Below are 18,784 nucleotides of genomic sequence, written 5' to 3' on the forward strand. Positions count from 1 at the left end.
GCATATGTAATATGAAAAAACGTTTTTCAAACAGAAGTTCACCTGGGTGATGAGACACTGTGGTGGTCTTCTTTTTTTTTTTTTTTGAAACGGAGTCTTGCTCTGTCGCCCAGGCTGGAGTACAGTGGCGCCATCTCGGCTTACTGCAAGCTCCATCTCCCGGGTTCACGCCATTCTCCTGCCTCAGCCTCCCGAGTAGCTGGGACTGCAGGTGCCCACCACCACGCCTGGCTAATTTTTTGTATTTTTAGTGAGATGGGGTTTCACCGTGTTAGCCATGATGGTCTCGATCTCCTGACCTCGTGATCCGCCCACCTTGGCCTCCCAAAGTGCTGGGATTATAGGCGTGAGCCACCACACCCAGCTGGTGGTCTTCTTTTAACGCTAAACTGTGGCCCTTTGTGTGACTGGATGTTCTTCTGCAAGCCGACATTCGGTACCAATGTGGGGTTCCATTGTTTGGCTGGGCCACACTTTCCTGGCCGCCCCTGTTCTCCATTTGTTTCTTCCAAGTTTTTCCCATTAAACACTGCCTCAGATATCTTAGTACTCACATCTTAGCTCTCATCTCTGGTTATTTTCTTGGGATAATTACTCAATGTAAAATTATTGTTTCCAAAGATATGCCTATTTTTAAGACTTGATCAAGTTTTCTTTTTTCACATCTTATGGGCCATCTGTGTTTCTGCTGTCAATTTCCTGAGCGGATTTTTCGCTGATGGTTTTGTCTTGTCCTAGTGTGTTTGGGAGAGGGCTTTTCGTGTCCTGGTGTCCTGGAAGGTGGATGGGATGCAGGTGGAGCTTGGGCACCCAGGGCTCCTGTGAGGCTCAGCAGGGCCAGCCTGGGTGGAAGCGAGGTCCCGGAGACTGTCCCGGAGCTTGCTTGAGTGCTATGGTCCTACAAAGTGAAGTGTTGTACCCATTTTAGAGATGAGGACATGAGTTTCAGAGGGGTGACTGGACAATCCCATAGCACCCACGCAGCAGAGTCAGGATTTGAACCTGGGCAGACGCTTGCCCCATCCAGAGTGAAACTTGTGGACGCTGTGCAGGACGGTTCCTGGCTTGCAGTCAGCACTCAGATAGCTGTTGAATGAATACACGAAAACGTAAATCTGGTTTTAGTTTCCGTTTTTTTTTTTTTGAAAGACAGATTAGCTCACTGTAAAATCTGTTTTTCTTCCTTTGCCAGGAAGCCATCAACAGAGACTCTTTCCTCTATCCTGTTGTAGAGTTGATTGACAGGGTTCTTTGTGCCTGGAAAGCAAATTATGTTAAAATTATCTTCACGACCTATTTATAAGTGCCACGATTCCTCAGCACTCTTTGGTTATAATCTGTGTCCTCAGGTGAGTGGGGTCTCCCGGGTCCCATGGCGCCCCCTGCCTGTTCAGGTCAGGCTTCTAACTTACCTTGGAGAGTGCTCTGCCCGCCGTCACCACGCGATGGTGTTGTGACCTCACGTGGGGCAAGTCATGCAGGCCGAGTCGGCGTTCCTGAGCTCCCATGCAGCGAATGCATCACCTCGGGAGAAAACTGTGTTCAATGTCCTCTTAATGACGTTGGCATTTTCACCATCGGTGCAGCTTGTGTTTCTAAAACATGACTACCTCACCCACATTGCCTATCCCTAAGGCATTTCAGCCACCCAGAGCCCCTTCGGAATCTGCTTTCCTTTCTCACGGACTTACCTTTTGAACATGCGTGTACCAAATGGTATTTTATAAGTCGTAGTCTTCTCGTATCAAAACGAGTCCTGGCCGCCAGCAGAACGTCTGATCAGCCTAGGTGATCGGCCTGCCCAGAGAGAGCTGCTGTCATTTCCACTTGAGGATGCGTGTGGGCTTGGTCACTTTGTGCAGCCTGGTGGTGTGAGTGAGGTCTCAGCCTTAGGTGGGCTTCTGAAGGGTGACCTATGACTCCTCTCTTCTCTGAGAGTACCTGGGTGGAGCGTACTGGGGTCCCAGGATGATGGATGATGGGCCACTTTCTACTGGGGCGGGCAGTGAAGACTTCATCTGGAGGTGCTTGTCTTATCCGCAGGGACTGTCTGTCTCAACCACGTGAGCAGCGTTAAGGCCGCTCTGCAGCTCTTTGTGCGGATATATGGCATGGGTGCTCCCCTTTGTGCTCCCCACCCTAACACAATCTCAAGTGTTGTTAGGCCTGTGCGTCGTGCAGTGTAATTTCCCCACAAGGTGTCACTGCAGATTATTCCCAGGACTTTCACGCCCCAGGGACTTCCGTGTGCCATTGACTAAGATTAGAAGCATCTTGAGGCCAGGGGGCTGCTCCACACTCCCGTGCCTTCCAACACAGCAGAGGTTCTGGTGCAGCGTCAGGACTCCAGTGGGATTTTTCTTTTGTATTTGAGAGAATGGATGGAGGTGGGATACATTTGCTCAGCATGATTTCTCACCCACGGATTAATAAATATATGTAAGTGTGATAAAGTTAAAAAATGGAGGCCTCATAATTCTGCAGGAAGAAAGACAAAGGAATTAAAGATTGAAAAGGCAAGAAGCCTTTGAAGCAGCCTGTTGTCCTCTTAGTTGTTCACATTCTGGTTCTAACAACATGTCCACTTGAAGAACTACCTGGGCCACTGCGAGATGTTTGTCACTGTGAGATGTTTGTCTGTTGCATTTCTCTACCCACTCCCACGGCCTGTCCTGGAGTTCACACTCTCCCTGTCTCTGGCCTGGGCCGCTTTGGGAGTCTCCCGTCTGGCCCAAGGGCGTCCAGCTTACCTCTTCCTGCCCGTCTCCCACAGGAGATCTTGTTAGAGGCCAGTCTGCTTACCTGAGCTTCTGCTTTCAGATCCTTGGTTAGCCTCCTGCATGGAGCTCAGAGTCCAGACTCCTCAGCCTGGGACAGGAGGCCACACCTCTCACCACCTCCCACTTAGGCCTTCTCCCACCCTCCTGTCTCTGTTTGGACTGTTCTCTGCCACCCACTGTCACTCTAGCCACATGGGCTCATCTCTGCTCTTCAGGTGAGCTGTGCACATGTGCACACACAGATACACGCCCTCACGTTGAGCGCTCATTTCCTTTGTGCCTGGTGCTGTTCTTAGTACCTCATGGGTCTTATTTCATACTTGAAACGACCTACATGGCAGGTTCTATATTGTCTGTTTCAGATGAGCTAGAGGCACTGATACAGTAAACAAAGTCCTTAAGGTCACACACTCTCCAATGTCACAGGTCTGGGATGAGAGCCCAGATGTGTCCCCCACCCCCTCCACATTTCTGCTGGTGGTCAGGGGTGGGGGTTTCCCTGCTTCGCTTCTGTGCATTCTCCAAGTGTCGGATCAAATAGCACCTCCTCTTTGTGGCTCTTTTTTCTTTGACTCTTCTCTCTGTCCTTACAAAATTAATTGTGCAGTAATCAAACGCATTGTTTCATAGTTACTTGTGGCCTGGGCTGTGAGCCCTCAGGGTAGGGGTGCATCTTATTCATCTTCAGGTTCCGTGGTTCAGGGCACATATTACGTAGGTACCTGGTGAAATTAGGTAATGTTTGGGATGTCTTGAAAATGTATGTTGTGGAACTCACCCCCTTCATGGCCTGGTGAGTAGGGGTTTGTGAGGGATGGTCCTGTTGTTGCTTCTCTCTTCCTGTGCTCCCTGATGCTCCTGAAGTCACCTCTGCTTTTGCTGCTGATTAGAGACAGAACTCTTCTAACCGACTTACTAGCACGGAGAGAATACATCTGCTTCACATTGCTGCCAAGTTAATACTGCATCTGGGAAGGCCAGAGAAAAACCAAGTTAAGAGAATCTTACTGCATAATTTATGAAAGACTGAGTCATAAAATAAGCATTTACAGTGGCCTGTTTGCCCAAGGTAGGGAATGCTAATGCAGCTATTATTCATCCCGATGGGGCCAGCGGCGTTTCTATGCCTCCAAAAGGTCTTCTGGCTCTTAGTTGCCTCCATGGATTTCTGAGGTTATCTCTAGCCTTTGTTTCCAAAATTGGCTCTTTTCCTGTTTGGGGGCCGGAGGTTTGGAGTTCAGTGCCGCGTGAAACAATTTTGTAGGAACTGTGTGTGTTGATATTTCTAAACAATGGAGGTCGTAAAGAAAAAAATCCCAAGACACCAGATTCAGTGCCAGCTCAGTACTAGGCACCATGAAAGGAGCAGGGGTACACAGGGAAATGAGACTGGCTTTGTTCCCAAGGCGCTGTGCTCGGCGAGAGACAGAATGTCTGCCTGGTGCTGTGAGCGCAGAGCCCTGGGTGGGGAAAGGATCTGAAGTGGAGACATTTCCCAGTTGCTGATGGTACAGCAGGGCTGGAAGGGTGTGGAGCTGGGCATAGGTATTGTGGGCATCAGGCGTGCCGCACCCAAGGCGGGAATGCATGGGGACGCTGAGGCGAGTGACTGGAGGCAGGCTGGCATGGTGGATGGTCTGCTTTCTGAAGGCTTGTGGTTGCCAGGCCTGAGAGTGACTGCTCATCGTATGTGACTTCTCTCCACTCACACTACTTCCCATCACCCTTCGAGCCCCTGGAGGGTAGGGCCCTATTCTCAATAAATGACAGATCAGTGATTGCAGTGTTTCCAGCAGCCCTCAGATCTCCCAGGGCTAGAAATCGCAGGGCGTCATGTTGCATGTAGGCTGCAAGCTGTGAGCAGCTCTGTGTGTGTCCTCATTCCAGCCCTGGCTGGAAAGTGCAGTCTGTCTGGGACCGCTCCCATGGCACAGAGCAGAAGCAAAGGGCTGGTGGAAGGTCCCAGTGCCTCTTTGAGCTTTGCCAGGACAGTGTGTGTCACATCACTTTCCGTGGGCCAGCTGATGGCACAAGGCCAAGCCCAACATCAATGGGCAGGAATGTATAATCCTTTTACAGGGAAGTGAATCTTCAAGAACAGTGATACAGGCTGCTACTCAGAGCACTTGAAGGATTTGAATCTGGGAAGTAATGTGATCCTATTTATAATTTTTAGAAAGTTCATTCTGGTGCAAGTGGCCTGGAAAAGTGCAGATAGATTCAGGGTCAGCGTAGGTGGGAAATACATTTATAGCTGCCTGTGCCGAGCGGGCTCTGGGCAGAGGGTCAAGCTGTTGGAGTGGGGATGCTGAAGAAAGAAAAGCTTTAAGAGGTATCTCCGAGGAAGATGGAGTCAGAGAATCTAGTGACTGGTGGTGTGAGGGAGCCTCAGGGTCCCAGTGAGTCATGCTGGGCATTGGAGTCACGGTGGATGACAGTGACCTCATCTAAGAGGACACGAGAGGAAGAGCAGATTGGGCAGGCCGAAGGCATTTGATGTTGGCCACTGGGTCCTGGCACCATGAGAATGGAGGTGTTGGTGGACGAAATCACCCAGTGGGCTCTTGTCAGGCAGGAGCAGAGAGCATGGACAGAGCCCACCCCTGACATTTCCATAGGAGGGAGGATGCTGACGTGGAGGACCTCCTGTGTGTCTGACATTGTTGCAGGAGTCTCTGTAGAGTCTCCTGTTGGATTTCCAGCAACTCTCCAGAGTAGATTCTCTTTACCACTGTTTCGTTTAACGGTTGTGGGAACCGAGGCCCACAGAGGTCAAGATACCTGCTCCAAGGTCATCCAGCAGATGAGCCTGAACCTGCAGTAACTCCCGGACTCGGAGCACAAGCACGTGGCTTGTGTGTTCCTTCTCAAGTAGGACCACTCCTGGTGTCCTTTGGTTCAAGATCATATCTAGTATATAATGAAATTTTGTTTTATGCAGTTTTTCAAGTGAGTTCACACCCATGGTCTGATTGAAAAAGTAATTAGTATTCCTATTAGAGCTTACCAAACAATCCCCTGATACGTGAGCATCCACAGAGGAACAGAGCAGCACTGTGTTTGTGATCTTTGATTTATAGCTGCCTGTGCCCAGCGGGCTCTGGCAGAAGGCTATAAATAAAATTAAAATAAATGGAAACAATGCACCTATAAATTGGGTTGCAGGAACCTCCAATTACCTTTTAGAGGAAATCCCCAATAAAATGCTGTTTGGCAATCCGTTTGAAAGAGAAGGAGCGATAGATCATCGTGGCGAAGTCAGGAAAGTGAAGGACAGGATACAATGTTGGAATGTTTCAAATATTAAAATTAGCTGATTCCAGTGAATTGCTGTTTGGTGTTATCAATGTTGGAAGGTCCTTTCCCCCCTCATTATTATTGTATCTTTCCAAGTGGGATAAAAGCCATCAGTTGCAAGTGCAGGATTTTAGGGAGGCAAGTCAGTATTTCTCTTATTCCTTTTGTTTTTTGAGTCAACTTCTCGGCTTCATGTTCTGGAAAATGGTGGGGGCCCAGCAAGAGGCTGGGTTTGGGCAGGATGTCTGGCCTGATTTTGCCCTTGTATCTGAGAGACAGTCCATGCATCATGGCAGGGAAGGGCCAAACTGGAGACCAGGTGGCCATGGGGCAGATCCAGAGCGGGAGCTGTGGGCCTGTGTGTGGGGAAGTCACGTTGTCTCTCTTTAGAAATCTTGTTATGCCCTTCTTAATTGTGTCCCAGAAAGTTATGATTTATGGAAAAGAGTACGTTTTCTTTTAAAATATGTTGGCTGGGGCCGGGCGCAGTGGCTCACGCCTGTAATCCCAGCACTTTGAGAGGCTGAAGTGAGTGGATCACGAGGTCAGGAGTTCGAGACAAGCCTGGCCAACATGGTGAAACCCTGTCTCTACTAAAAATATAAAAAGCTGGGTGTGGTGGCGGGCACCTGTAATCCCAGCTACTCAGGAGGCTGAGGCAGGAGAATCGCTTGAAACAGAAAGGCAGAGGTTGCAGTGAGCCGAGATCGCGCCACTGCACTCCAGCCTGGGCAACAAGAGCGAAACTCTGTCTCAAAAAAGAAAAATAAATAAAATATGTTGTCCACATAAAATATTTTAATAAAAATATGTAAAATACATTTATTCTTATTCTGTGGAAATAAATGATAATTATTTGGCTGATGTTTGGATATCTGGTGCTAACAAGCCACTGAAGTCATTGGCCAGCGACATTCTCACTGGTCAGACTTTGGCCAGCAGGCACTGGAATGCGCTTTCTGTCACCTGGCTTCCACTTGGCTCTGTGGAATGTGAGGAAGAAGGGATAGAACAGGGACAGGGAAGGGCGGATGGTGTCCATCCCCAGCTAAGCTGCATGGGGATTCCTCTTGGAGACTGAACATGAGTGTCAGCAGAAGCCTGTAGAGCACAAAGCATGTATGCATTCTGAGGCCCTGTCCGCCTGGGCAGCTCCAGGAAGAGGCAAGGTTAGATCTCTCCTGACTAGGAGGCCCAGCCTCAATTAAAGCTGTGATTTGAAACTTTCAGGTTAGTGGGAAGATACATATGAGTTAATCTCTTTCTATTTAAGTCTTAATTTTATATATGTGATGACTAGGCAGTGTTTAGAATCTTTGTTTGCTGTGTGTCAATGCACTAATGTGACTTTTAACTTATTGGACCATACTTATAGGAAGCTTAAGTTGTTTGGACTGAAGGTTATAGCTCAGGCCCTATTATAAACCTACTTGAATTGTAGGTGGGGGATGCTCAATTAGACCAGCTCATGGTAACTGCTAAGCTACCTGTCACCACTTGAGGGCCTTTCAAGATCGGCAGTTAGAAACCAGCATGGCCGGCCGGCTCCTTGCATTGCAGGCACAGTGGCTTCTCCTGAGTCCCACGGCACATTCTTCTACTGGGCTCAAGCTGCCTTGCCTGAAGGGCTTTGTGCTACTGTCCCTGTCCTTAAGGTCTTCATGACTCGTGGGGGTGATAAGACTCAAGCCAGCAACTGAGAAAGGACGAATATTCAAAGGAAGGGAGGAACACATCTGGCTGGAGTGATCAGGAACATTTTTAAAGGAGAAGGTGACAACTGAGCAGAGGAGCTTGGTCTTGAAGAAATGGAGAGATGGGATAATATTCCAGAAGAAGCAATGGAGTAAAGTTGTGAAGGTGGTTCCAGAGCAGTGAAAGGTCTAGTTTCCCTGGAGCCTTGTCTTTGGGTAAAACTGCAACTGCATGCCAGCCTACTGATACCTGAGTGCTGATAAACAAAGGCGTTTTTGTGGGTTGAAGCAACCATAGGCCAGGGTGCAAGGACTTGTCAGGAGAGAGGAATTGGGTTTTTGTTCCCATTTGGTCTCTCTGCCAGATGCCTTAACATTTTAAAAGTCTTTTCTTTCCATTTTCTTTTTCTTTTTTTCTAGAATTCTTATTCTTCTCAACACTTTTATTCGTAGCATTTTCTTATTTAAATTGTATTTGGACCCTCTATATCCCTAGCCTCTGAAGTAGACTCAACCCCAGCCAAAAGGAGCAGGTGCAAAGCTCAAATCCTGATTAAGAGGAATGAATACAGACTGCTGGGTTGACTAAAATAGGGAAGAGACTCAAGGGTATAAGGAAATACCAGAATAAAAAAGCACACTGTGGCAAATGATGTCAGAAAGATGGTGAAATAGGAGTTTTCAGCCCTCATCCCCCCCAGCAGTAATACTGATTTTGACAAATGCCCACAGGTGAGAGTACCCCTGTGGAGCACAGGAGTACAAGTGCAGAGGTCTTAGCAGTCTTGTTGGAGAAAATCACTCAAGAATAGACACACTGAAGAGGGTAAGAAGAAGAGTTTCACTTATCCATAACACCCCTCCCTGAAGGCAGCATAGCTCAGTGCCAACTCCCTTGGTTCTTGATTTCTCTCAAAAGGGAAGGTGAGAGCATAGTGAACACCCAGTGACCCCAGCCATGTGGGATGCTCTCCAGCAGGCCCACTCCTTTCTCATCCCTTTCAGAACACTGAGTGGATCAGCATGACTGAATAGTTTGGGAGCAACTAAGAGCAAGGAAAAGGGGCTGGGACTGTCAGTAGTCAGGGCATGGAACTCAACAAAGGGCTACAGTTTCTACTAACTGCCTTGTGGACTTCACTAAGAGGCTAGTCCACAAATTTCATAGGATCTGTTTGCTGCAGACACCCCCACCTAGCCCACATATGCCTCCAGCATTCTGTATGCCTCCCTTCCTTGGCAGCTGGCACAACTGCACCCCTGTAGACAGCACGTGAGCCTCTGCAGATTGTGTACAAGCAGACACAGACAGCTGGCTTGACTTTCCTATATTGAGAGAAAGAACTTAACCTTAGACACTTCTGAGCACTGCCCTAAGGAAAAATAAATGGAAGCTTCGTGACACCTGGCCTGGCTTTGTGGGATTGAGATAAGGTATAGAATCCTAAGACTTACCCCCAAATAGGGAACAAGAGGAGTGGAGTGGGTACATTAATAGGAAAGGTCTGAGAGGCTCCCAGAATTCCTAGTCAGGCTGATTGGAAGATCTTTCTCTTCTGAAGCCAGTCAGTAAAGACTGGGGAAAGTGACTGTTACTTCAAATGCAAAGACAGCAATGCAAGACTTAACATGAAAAGTCAGGGAAACATGACCTGACGAAAAGAACATTATAACTTTTCAGTAACTGATCCCAAACAGATGGAGATCTACAAATTTCCTGACAAAGAATTTAAGACAATTGAGAAAACAGACAACTCAACAAAATCAGGTAAATAATATATGAACAAAAATGGGAAGTTCAACAAAGAGAGAAATCATAAAAAAGAACCAAACAAATTCTGGAGCTGAAGAATACAAAGACTGAACTATGAAATGCAATTGAGAGCTTTAACAACAGACTCTAACAAGCCGAAGAATCAGTAGGCTCAAAGACAGGTCATTTGAAATTACCCAATTAGAAAATAAAAAAGCATGAGAAAGAGAGAAGAAAGTCTGTAGGATTTATGGAACAACATTAAGCAAAGCCATATACGCATTATGTGAATTTCAGAGGGAGAAAAGAGAGAAAGGGGCAGAAAGCTTCTTTAAAGAAATAAGAACAAAAAATGTCTTAAATCTGGGGAGAGAAATAGCCAGACTCAAGAAGCCCATGGGACCCCAAACAGATTGAATGTGAAAAAGTCTATACTGAAACACAATATAATTAAACTGTCAAAAGTCAAAGACAAACAGAATTTGGAAAGCAGCAACAGAAAAGCAACTTGTCATATACAAGAGAATGTCCTAAGACTATCAATGGATTTCTCAACATAAACTTTGTATGTCAGGAGTGAATGGGCTGATATATTCAAAGTAATGCAAGGAAAAAAAAAACCTGCCGACTAAGAATACAATACCCAGCAAAGCTGTCCTAATGAGGGCAAGAGTTTCCCAGACGAAAGTGGTGGAGATTCATTACTGCTAGACCTGCTTTAAAAGAACTATGAAAGGGAGTTAAATTTGAAATGAAAGGATGTTAATTAGTAACATGAAAACCTATGAAAGTATAATACTCACTGGCAAAAGTAAGTATGTAGTCAAATTCAGAATACCTCAATATTGTAATGATGGTGTGTAAATCACAGTTAACGCCAGTATAAAAGTTAAACACCAAAAATATTAAAATAACTGTAGCTACAACATTTAGTTAATGGATATACAAAGATGTAAATTAATTATGGTATCAATAGCAAAATGTGCATGTGTGTATTTGTAAGAGAGAGAACTAAAAGTATAAAGTTTTTGTGTGCGATTGATGTTAAGTTGTTATCAGCCTAAAATAGATGGTTAGCACTATGCATTTTGTAACACTATTCTAAGCCTCATGGTAACCACAAAGAAAAAACATACAGTTGATATGGAAAATATAAAGAGAAAAGAATCAAAGCATGCTATTACAAAAAAAAAATCATCACAACAGAAGACGGCAAGAGAGGAGGAAAGAAACAAAAGAGCTATAAAACAATTGCAAAACAACAACCTGGCCATAGTTAAGTCCTTACCAATCGGTAATTACTTTAAGTGTAAATGGATTAAATTATCCAATCAGAAGACAAAGAGTGACTGAATAGATTAAAAAAACAAGATCCAACAATATACTGCCTATAAGTGACTCACTTTAGTTTTAGTGACACATAGGCTGAAAGTGAAGGGATAGAAAAAGATATCCCACACCAATGATAACAAAAGAGAGCAGGGGTGACTATCTTTATATCAGGCAAAATAGACATTAAGTTAAAAACTGTCACAAGAGGTTGGGTGCAGTGGCTCATGCCTATAATTCCAGTGCTTTGGGAGGCTGAGGTGGGAGGATTGCTTGAGGCTAGGAGTTTGAGACCAGCCTGGGCAACATAGGGAGATCTTGTCTCCTAAAAAAAAAAAAAAAAATTAGCGGGGCATGGTGGCACGTGCCTGTAGTCCTAGGTGCATATTTGATGTTAACGTGAACTATGATCACACCCCTGGGTTCCACCCTGGGGGACAGAGCAAGACCCTGTCTCAAGAAACAAAAAAAGTGTCACAAGAGACAAGGGCATTGTATAATGATGAAGGGGTCAGTTCATCAAGAAGATATAACAATTGTGAATATATGTGTATCCAACATTGGAGAACCTCAATATATAAAGCATATATTAACAGAATTTAAGGAAGAAATAGCAATACAATAATAATAAGGGATTTCAGTACTGCACTTTCAAAAATGGATCAATCATCCAGACAGAAAATCAGTAAGGAAACAGCAGACTTGAATAACAATATGGACCAAATGGACCTAACAAGATATAGACAGACCATTCCATCCAACAGCTGTAGAATGCACATTCTTCTCAAGTCATAAGGAGCATTCTCCAGATTAGATCATTTATTGGACCACAAAACAAGTCTTAACAAATTTAAGAGGATTGAAATAATATCAAGAATCTTGATATCACACAATGGTGTGATACTAGAAATAAAAGGAAGAAAGTTCACAAATACGTGAACAAGACACCCCTAAACTACCAGTGGGTCAAAGAGGAAATTAAAGGGAAATAAAAAGAAATCTTGAGGCAAATGAAAATGGAAATACAGCATACCAACACTTCTCAGATACAGCAAAAGTAGTTTTAAGAGGAAAGTTTATAGTGATAAGTGCCTTGTTAAGAAAAAAGATTGCAGGCAGGGCTCAGTGGCTCACGCCTGTAATCCCAGCACTTTGGGAGGTCGAGGCAGTGGATCACGAGGTCAGGAGTTCAAGACCAGCCTGGCCAAGATGGTGAAACCCCATCTTTATTAAAAATACAAAAATTAGCCAGGTGTGGTGTTGGGTGCCTGTAATCCCACCTACTCGGGAGGCTGAGGCAGAGAATTGCTTGAACCTGGGAGGCGGAGGTTGCAGTGAGCCAAGATTGCGCCACTGCACTCTAGCCTGGGAGATAGAGTGAGACTCCGTCTCAAGAAAAAAAAGTTGCAAATAAACAGCCCAACTTCTACACTTGAAGGAACTAGAAAAAGAAGAACAAACGAAGTTCAAAGTTAGCAGGAGACAGAAAACAGTAAAGATTAGAACAAGTAAATGAAATAGAGAGTAGAAAAACAACAGACGAGATTAAAAAGAACCTAAGAGTTGGTTTTTTAAGGAGATAAAATTGACAAACCTTTAGCTAGACTAAGAAAAAAGAAGACTCAAATGCAATCATAAATGAGGAAATATTGATAAATTCCTAGAAACATATAGCATACCAAAAGTGAATTATGAAGAAATAGAAAATTTGAACAAACCAATAATGAAAAGGAGATTGAATCAGTAATCGGATACATCCCAACGAGGAAAAGCTCAGGACCAGATGGCTTCACTGGTGAATTCTACCAAATACTTAAAGAAGAATGAATGTCAGTTCTTCTCAAAGTCTTTCCAAAAATTGAAGTGGAGGGAACACTTCCCAGCTGTATTATGAGGATATATTATACCCTGATTTAAAAGCCAGACAAGGACATTACAAGAAAAGAAAATTACAGGCCAGTATTCCTGATGAACATAGATGCAAAAGCTCTCATCAAAATACTAGCAAACTGAATTCAACAGCACACTGAAAGGTTCAGACACTGTGATTAATTGGGATTTATCGCTGGGATGCAAGGATGGTTCTACACACACAAGTCAATAAATATGTATCACATTAATAGAATGAAGGAGAAAAATTATATCATCTCAATAGATGCAGAAAAATCATTTGACAAAATTCAACATCTTTTCTTGATAAAACTTTCAATAAATCAGGTATAGAAGGAATGTACATCAACATAAAAAGGCCGTATATGACAATCCCATAGCTTAAGATCTTACAAATGCCTTTCCTCTAAGATCAGGAAGAGGACAGGGATGCCTTCCCAGCCAGAGCAATTAGACAGTAAAAAGAAATAAAAGGCATTCAAATCAAAAAGGAAAAATAAAATTGTGTGCAGTTCGCATGATCTTATACGTAGATAACCCTAAGGACTCCACCAAAAAACTGTTGGAACTAATATACAAATTCAGTGAAGTGGCAGGATACAAAAATCAACATGCAAAGATCAGTTGTGTTTCTATACACTAACAACAACTCTCCAAGAAACTTAAGAAAGCCCCATTTACAATAGAATCAAAAAGAATGAAATATGATACTTTGGTGTGAATGTAACCAAGGCGGTGAAGGATTCTTCTTCTTTTTTTTTTTTTTTTGAGACGGAGTCTCGCTCTGTCACCCAGGCTGGAGTGCAGTGGCGTGATCTCGGCTTACTGCAACCTGGAGGTGAAGGATTCTTACACTGAATACTTTAACAGTTGGTAAAAGGAAATAAAGAAGACACAAATAAATGGAAATATATCCCATGTGTATGAATGGGAAAAATTAATATTGTTAAAATGTCCACACTATGTAAAGTGATCTACACATAGGACAATCTCTATCAAAATTCCAATGACATGTTTTGCAAAAAGAAGAAAAACAATCCTAAAATTCATATAGACCCACAAAATATCCCAAATAGCCAAAGTAGTCTTGAGCAAGAAGAATGAAGCCGGAGCCACCCCACTTATTGATTTCAAAATATGTTACAAAACTAGATTATCAAAACAGTATGATATTGGCATAAAAACTGACATATAGACCAATGGAATGTAAAGTAGAGAGCTCAGAAATAAATCCATGCATTTGTGGTCAACTGATCTTTGACAAAGGTGCCAAGAACGCACAATAGGGAAAAGGGTAGTCTTTTCAATAAGTTTGTTGGGAAAAGTAGATATTCCCATACATGAGAATGAAATTCGACCCTTAACTCACGGCATATACAAAAGTCAACTTAAAATGGATTAAATACTTAAAGGTAAGAATTGAAACTGTAAAACTACTGGAAGAAAACATAGGGAAAAAGCTTCTTGACATTGTTCTGCTCAGTGCCTTTTTAGATATGACACCAAAAACATAAAACATAAGCAAAAATAGACAAATGGGATTGCATCAAATTAAAAAGCTTCTGCACAGCAAAGGAAATAATCATCAGAGTGAAGAGACAACCTATGGATTATAAGAAAATATTTGCAAACTATACATCTGATATGGGGTAAATGTCTGAAATATATAAAGAGCTCAAACAACTCAACAGCAAAAATGAAAACCAAACAAACTAAATAACCTGATGAAAAAGTGGGCAAAGGACCTGAATAGACATTTCTCAAAAGAAGACATACAGATTATCAATAGGTATATGAAAAGGGGCTCAACATCACTAATCAGAGAAATGCAAATAAAAATCACAACGAGTTATCATTTCACACCTGCTAGTATGGCTCTTACCAAAAAAACAAATGAGGCTGGGTGGTGGCTCACGCCTGTAATCCCAGCACTTTGGGAGCCTGAGGCAGGTGGATCACGAGGTCAGAAGTTTGAGACCAGCCTGGCCAACATAGTGAAACCCTGTCTCTACTAAAAATACAAAAATTAGCTGGGCATGGTAGTGTGCGCCTGTAGTCCCAGCTACTTGGGAGGCTGAGGCAGGAGAATGGCTTGAACCCAGAAGGCGGAGGTTGCAGTGAGCCGAGATTGCGCCACTGTACTCCAGCCTGGGTGGCAGAGCGAGACTCTGTCTACAAAAAAAAAAAAAAGACAAATGATAACAAGCATTCGTGAGAATTTGTAGAAAGGGGAACCTTTTTACACCATTGGTGGGAATGTAAATTGATATAGCCTTTATGGAAAACGGTATGGAGGGTCCTCAAAAAATTTAACACAGAACTGTCAGATGATCCAGCAATCCCACTTCTGGGTATATATCCAAAGGAAATGAAGTCAGTGCCTCGTAGAGGATATTTGTACCTTCGTGTTCATTGCAGCATTATTCTCAATAGCCAAGACATGGAAACAACCCAAGTATTCACCGATGAATGAATGAGTAATGAAAATGGGTGTGTGTGTGTGTGTGTGTGTGTGTGAGAGAGAGAGAGAGAGAAAGAGAGAGAGAGAAAATGGGATTGCCATGGCCTTAATGATCCCCAGAATGGATGTGTTGAAATGTAATCAGCAATGTGATAGTATTCAAAGGTGGGGCCTATAGGAGGTGATGTGATTCATGAAGGTGGAGCCCTCATGGATGAGGTTAGGGCCCTTAGAAAGAGGCCTGAGGAAGTGGGTTCACTCTCTTCTGCTATTTGGCCATGTGAGGACATGACATTTGTCCCTTTTGGCCGTTCCGCCATGTGAGGACACAGCAAGAGGGCCGTTGTCAGACACCTAACCTGCCAGCACCTTGATCTTAGACTTTCACCCTCCAGAATCGTGAGAAAAAATTTTCTGTTCTTTATAAATTATCCAGTCTCAGGTATTTTGTTTTAACAGTACTAATGGAGTGAGACAGTGATATTATTCACCCTTAAAAAAGAAGGTAACCCTGTCATTTACAGCAACATGGATGAGCCTGGGTGACATTATCCTACATGGAATTAGCCAGACCCAGAAGATATTCATCATCTTCCTTATATGTGGAATCCAAAAAAATTGCCTTCCTGGAAGTAGAGAGTAGAATGGTGGTTATCAGGAACTGGAGGGCTGCAAAGTGGGGAGATGTGAGCCAGAGAGTATAAACTTTCGTTTATACGATGAATCAGTTCTAGGGATCTCATGTACAGCATGATGACTATAGTTAACAGTACTGTATGGTATACTTGGAATTTGTTAAGAAAGTAGGTTTTAAGTGTTCTTACCACACACGCACACAAGGTAACTGTAACATGTGAGGTGAAGGATATAATTAACTTGATTTTGGTAGTAATTTCACAATGTCTACGTAAATCTGAATCCCATGTTGAACATCTTATTTGCATACCATTTTTACTTTTTGGTTACATCTGTTAAGCTGGAAAAAAATTGCATCCAGATATTCCTGGTATCCCTAATAATAACATTCTGTATTATTATTTGGCCCATCCAACATGAAACAAGGATAGATGGGTTTGTAAGTTACAGGTATAGGTATTTTTGCTGCAACTTAAAAACTTTTCCTTAATTTAAAACAGGCACCATCAATTTTGCATTCTTTGGTAAAGGCATGAAGAACCCAGAGCTGAAATAACAAGCTGCTTTCTTTGGGGCCATTTGAATGATAGGGACAACTAAGATGTGGGATCTCATTCGGCCAAAAGCCATATAGGCTGAGCAGTCATGGGTTTGGGTCTCTATGGGATCTAAGACTTGGAATTTATTTTTAACATTTTATTTGAAACTTTTCAAACATGGAGAAAAGCTGAAAGACTTGTCATGGCCATCCATTGAGGCCACCATATAGAGTATGTTAGGTCTCCTCCATCTCTCTTTCTGTCTCTGTCTGTCCATCCATCATTCCGTCTCTTCTTTTTGGATGCATCTCAAAGTAAGTTGTAGATATCAGTTCTCCCCGTAAACACTTGAGTATGCATGTCATTAACTTGATTTAGGGTTTTCGTGGAGGTAATATTTACACCATGAAATGTACAAACCTGCAGCACAAAAATCAGTGGGATGAGTTTTAACAAATGCATGACCTGTGCAGCGCGATCTCCGATCAAACTGTAGAACATCAGCCTTACTGCAGAACGTTCTCCAGGGCCCTTTGGCAGTGCACACACTGTGTAGCCACGCCCAGCGGGCAGCTTCGGGAGATGAGTTGGGGAGGGAGGGCTTTGGCGCCCTGACAGGTAGGGATGTTCCAGAGCTGCTGTTGCGTGCCCAGGGCATGCCTTGACAGCATCACAGTTGAATGGAGCAGTGTCTGGGTGACATCGATGAGAAGGGAGCTGAAGGAGGTGCTGCGGCCCATGTTCATGAGGAGATGGAAGGAGTGCAGAATGGCAGGGCTGGGATCCTGATGTACCCTGGGACTTGGCTGTCTCTGAGTGTCTGCAGTGCCTCGAGCACACTGTGCGTACCTGAGGCAGTTGGTGGGAAATGGATTTAGTTCCATGCGTTCAGCTGGGTGGCCGGATTTCAGGGCATCATTTGTGAAATGACCCACTGTAATGTGGTGGTTCAAGGGGAGGCACTGAGCCAGTTCTGCTGCTCGCCTTTAGCTCAGGGTCCTCATCTGTCAAGTGGGAATCACTTGCTTCTGTTGTTACGAGCATTCGGTGTACTAATACAGTAATACAAACCACCACCTGCACAGAGCAGCGCTCAGTCAAGTCAGCTGTTGTTGTTGTCATTGATTTTTATGATAATAACTCCCCTGCAGAGATAAAACAGCCACGGGTATACAGTGGCTGCCCGGCCGGTGCTGCAGCAGCTCTTCCTCCTGGGATGCCAGGGGATTGAGACTCGGCTTTATTCTGAAGCTGTCCCAAATATGAATCATTCACTGTTATTAAGCCACCTCAGCATGCCCCCTTTGTTATCTGGGCCCAAAAGAGCACAGAGTGTGGCCCCCAGTACATTTTGGGTGACGCCTTTACACCCATCCAGCAAGTTGGGGCTGGGAGTGGGTATCACGCGTTCTGTAGATGACGTCTGTAGACTTCTGGGGTTTTTCAATAGAGGGGCCATATTGTTTATCATCTGTTTTGGGGGTAAACGGGGCACTCTTAACAGTTTAAGAGGGGCAGGTGAGCGGTGAACTGGGTAAACTGAGATGTATGATATCCTAGTTCCCTGGGGTGAAGGAGGCCAAGCTTTTCTGTTAATGAAAATAAACTGCATCTCATTCACAGCGGATTGACCTGTGAGCGTAAACACAGCCTGGGGAGTAGCACCCGGCAGCACCCTGTGTTCTCACATCATCGGGAAGGACAGCTGCCTTCCATTCATCATGCTGGCAGATGCCGTTGGCTGTGCTGGGGCCAGAAAGCATTTGGGATGGGGTCAGGACATCTCAAGGCAGATAGATGTTTGTGGGGTTGTTCGGTCTTGAGGGTCACACGGTCTCTGTCTTCTTGGCTGTCATTTGCAAAGGAGTACAAGCTTGGGCTGGACTGGCCAGCCAGCCTTCCTGTGGGTGTAAACATGTGGGTAAGGCATGCTAGATGCTGGGCGTGGGCACTCTGGTCCAAGCACATTCTTATCAAGCCGTTCTAAGCATTCCAAGTAGGAGTCTCATTGAGAAGCATCCCCGTCTGTGGTCTTGCCATGCCACGGTGCCCATGTCCAGCAGTCACTGAGTACACCGTTAACTGCTGTGTAGACCGTGAACTATTCCACTGCGTGCTGCTTCCTTCTCTTCTTACTCTCCTCTTTGGAGAAGTTTATAAGCTTAGTTGCATTTAGTTATAAAGCATCTGGGCAGCCCTGTCTCCCTCTGATTGTACCCCCTGTGGGCATTCATTAAGCACCTCCTCTGTGCCAGGCAGTGTAGCCACCAGCATAAAGCTAGTGACTGAGTGTGTGCCAGATGTCTGTGTGGTTGAGTCGTCAGCTTGACGTGGTGGGACAGAAGTGAGTTTGCAGGAGACTGGGTATAAGGATGGGGAGAGCTTATGGGTGGGTAGAGGAGCAC

General features: G+C 44.3%; 1 protein-coding gene across 19 annotated transcripts in view, besides 1 other annotated feature; it reads left to right on the forward strand.

Annotated features, from left to right (window-relative positions):
- The window catches only part of TBC1D22A (TBC1 domain family member 22A), a 413,050-nt gene that overhangs the window by 63,165 nt on the left and 331,101 nt on the right, over nt 1-18,784 (forward strand).
- Nucleotides 1,432-1,590: a silencer, noted in NCBI's record as "fragment chr22:47223143-47223301 (GRCh37/hg19 assembly coordinates)". NCBI's record gives its function as "represses an EF-1alpha promoter that drives an FKBP-Casp9 reporter gene in an ReSE screen in HepG2 liver carcinoma cells {active_cell/tissue: HepG2}" and the evidence as "EXISTENCE:reporter gene assay evidence [ECO:0000049][PMID:32094911]".

The sequence above is a fragment of the Homo sapiens genome, chromosome 22 (assembly GCF_000001405.40).
Source record: "Homo sapiens chromosome 22, GRCh38.p14 Primary Assembly".
NCBI lineage: Eukaryota > Metazoa > Chordata > Mammalia > Primates > Hominidae > Homo > Homo sapiens.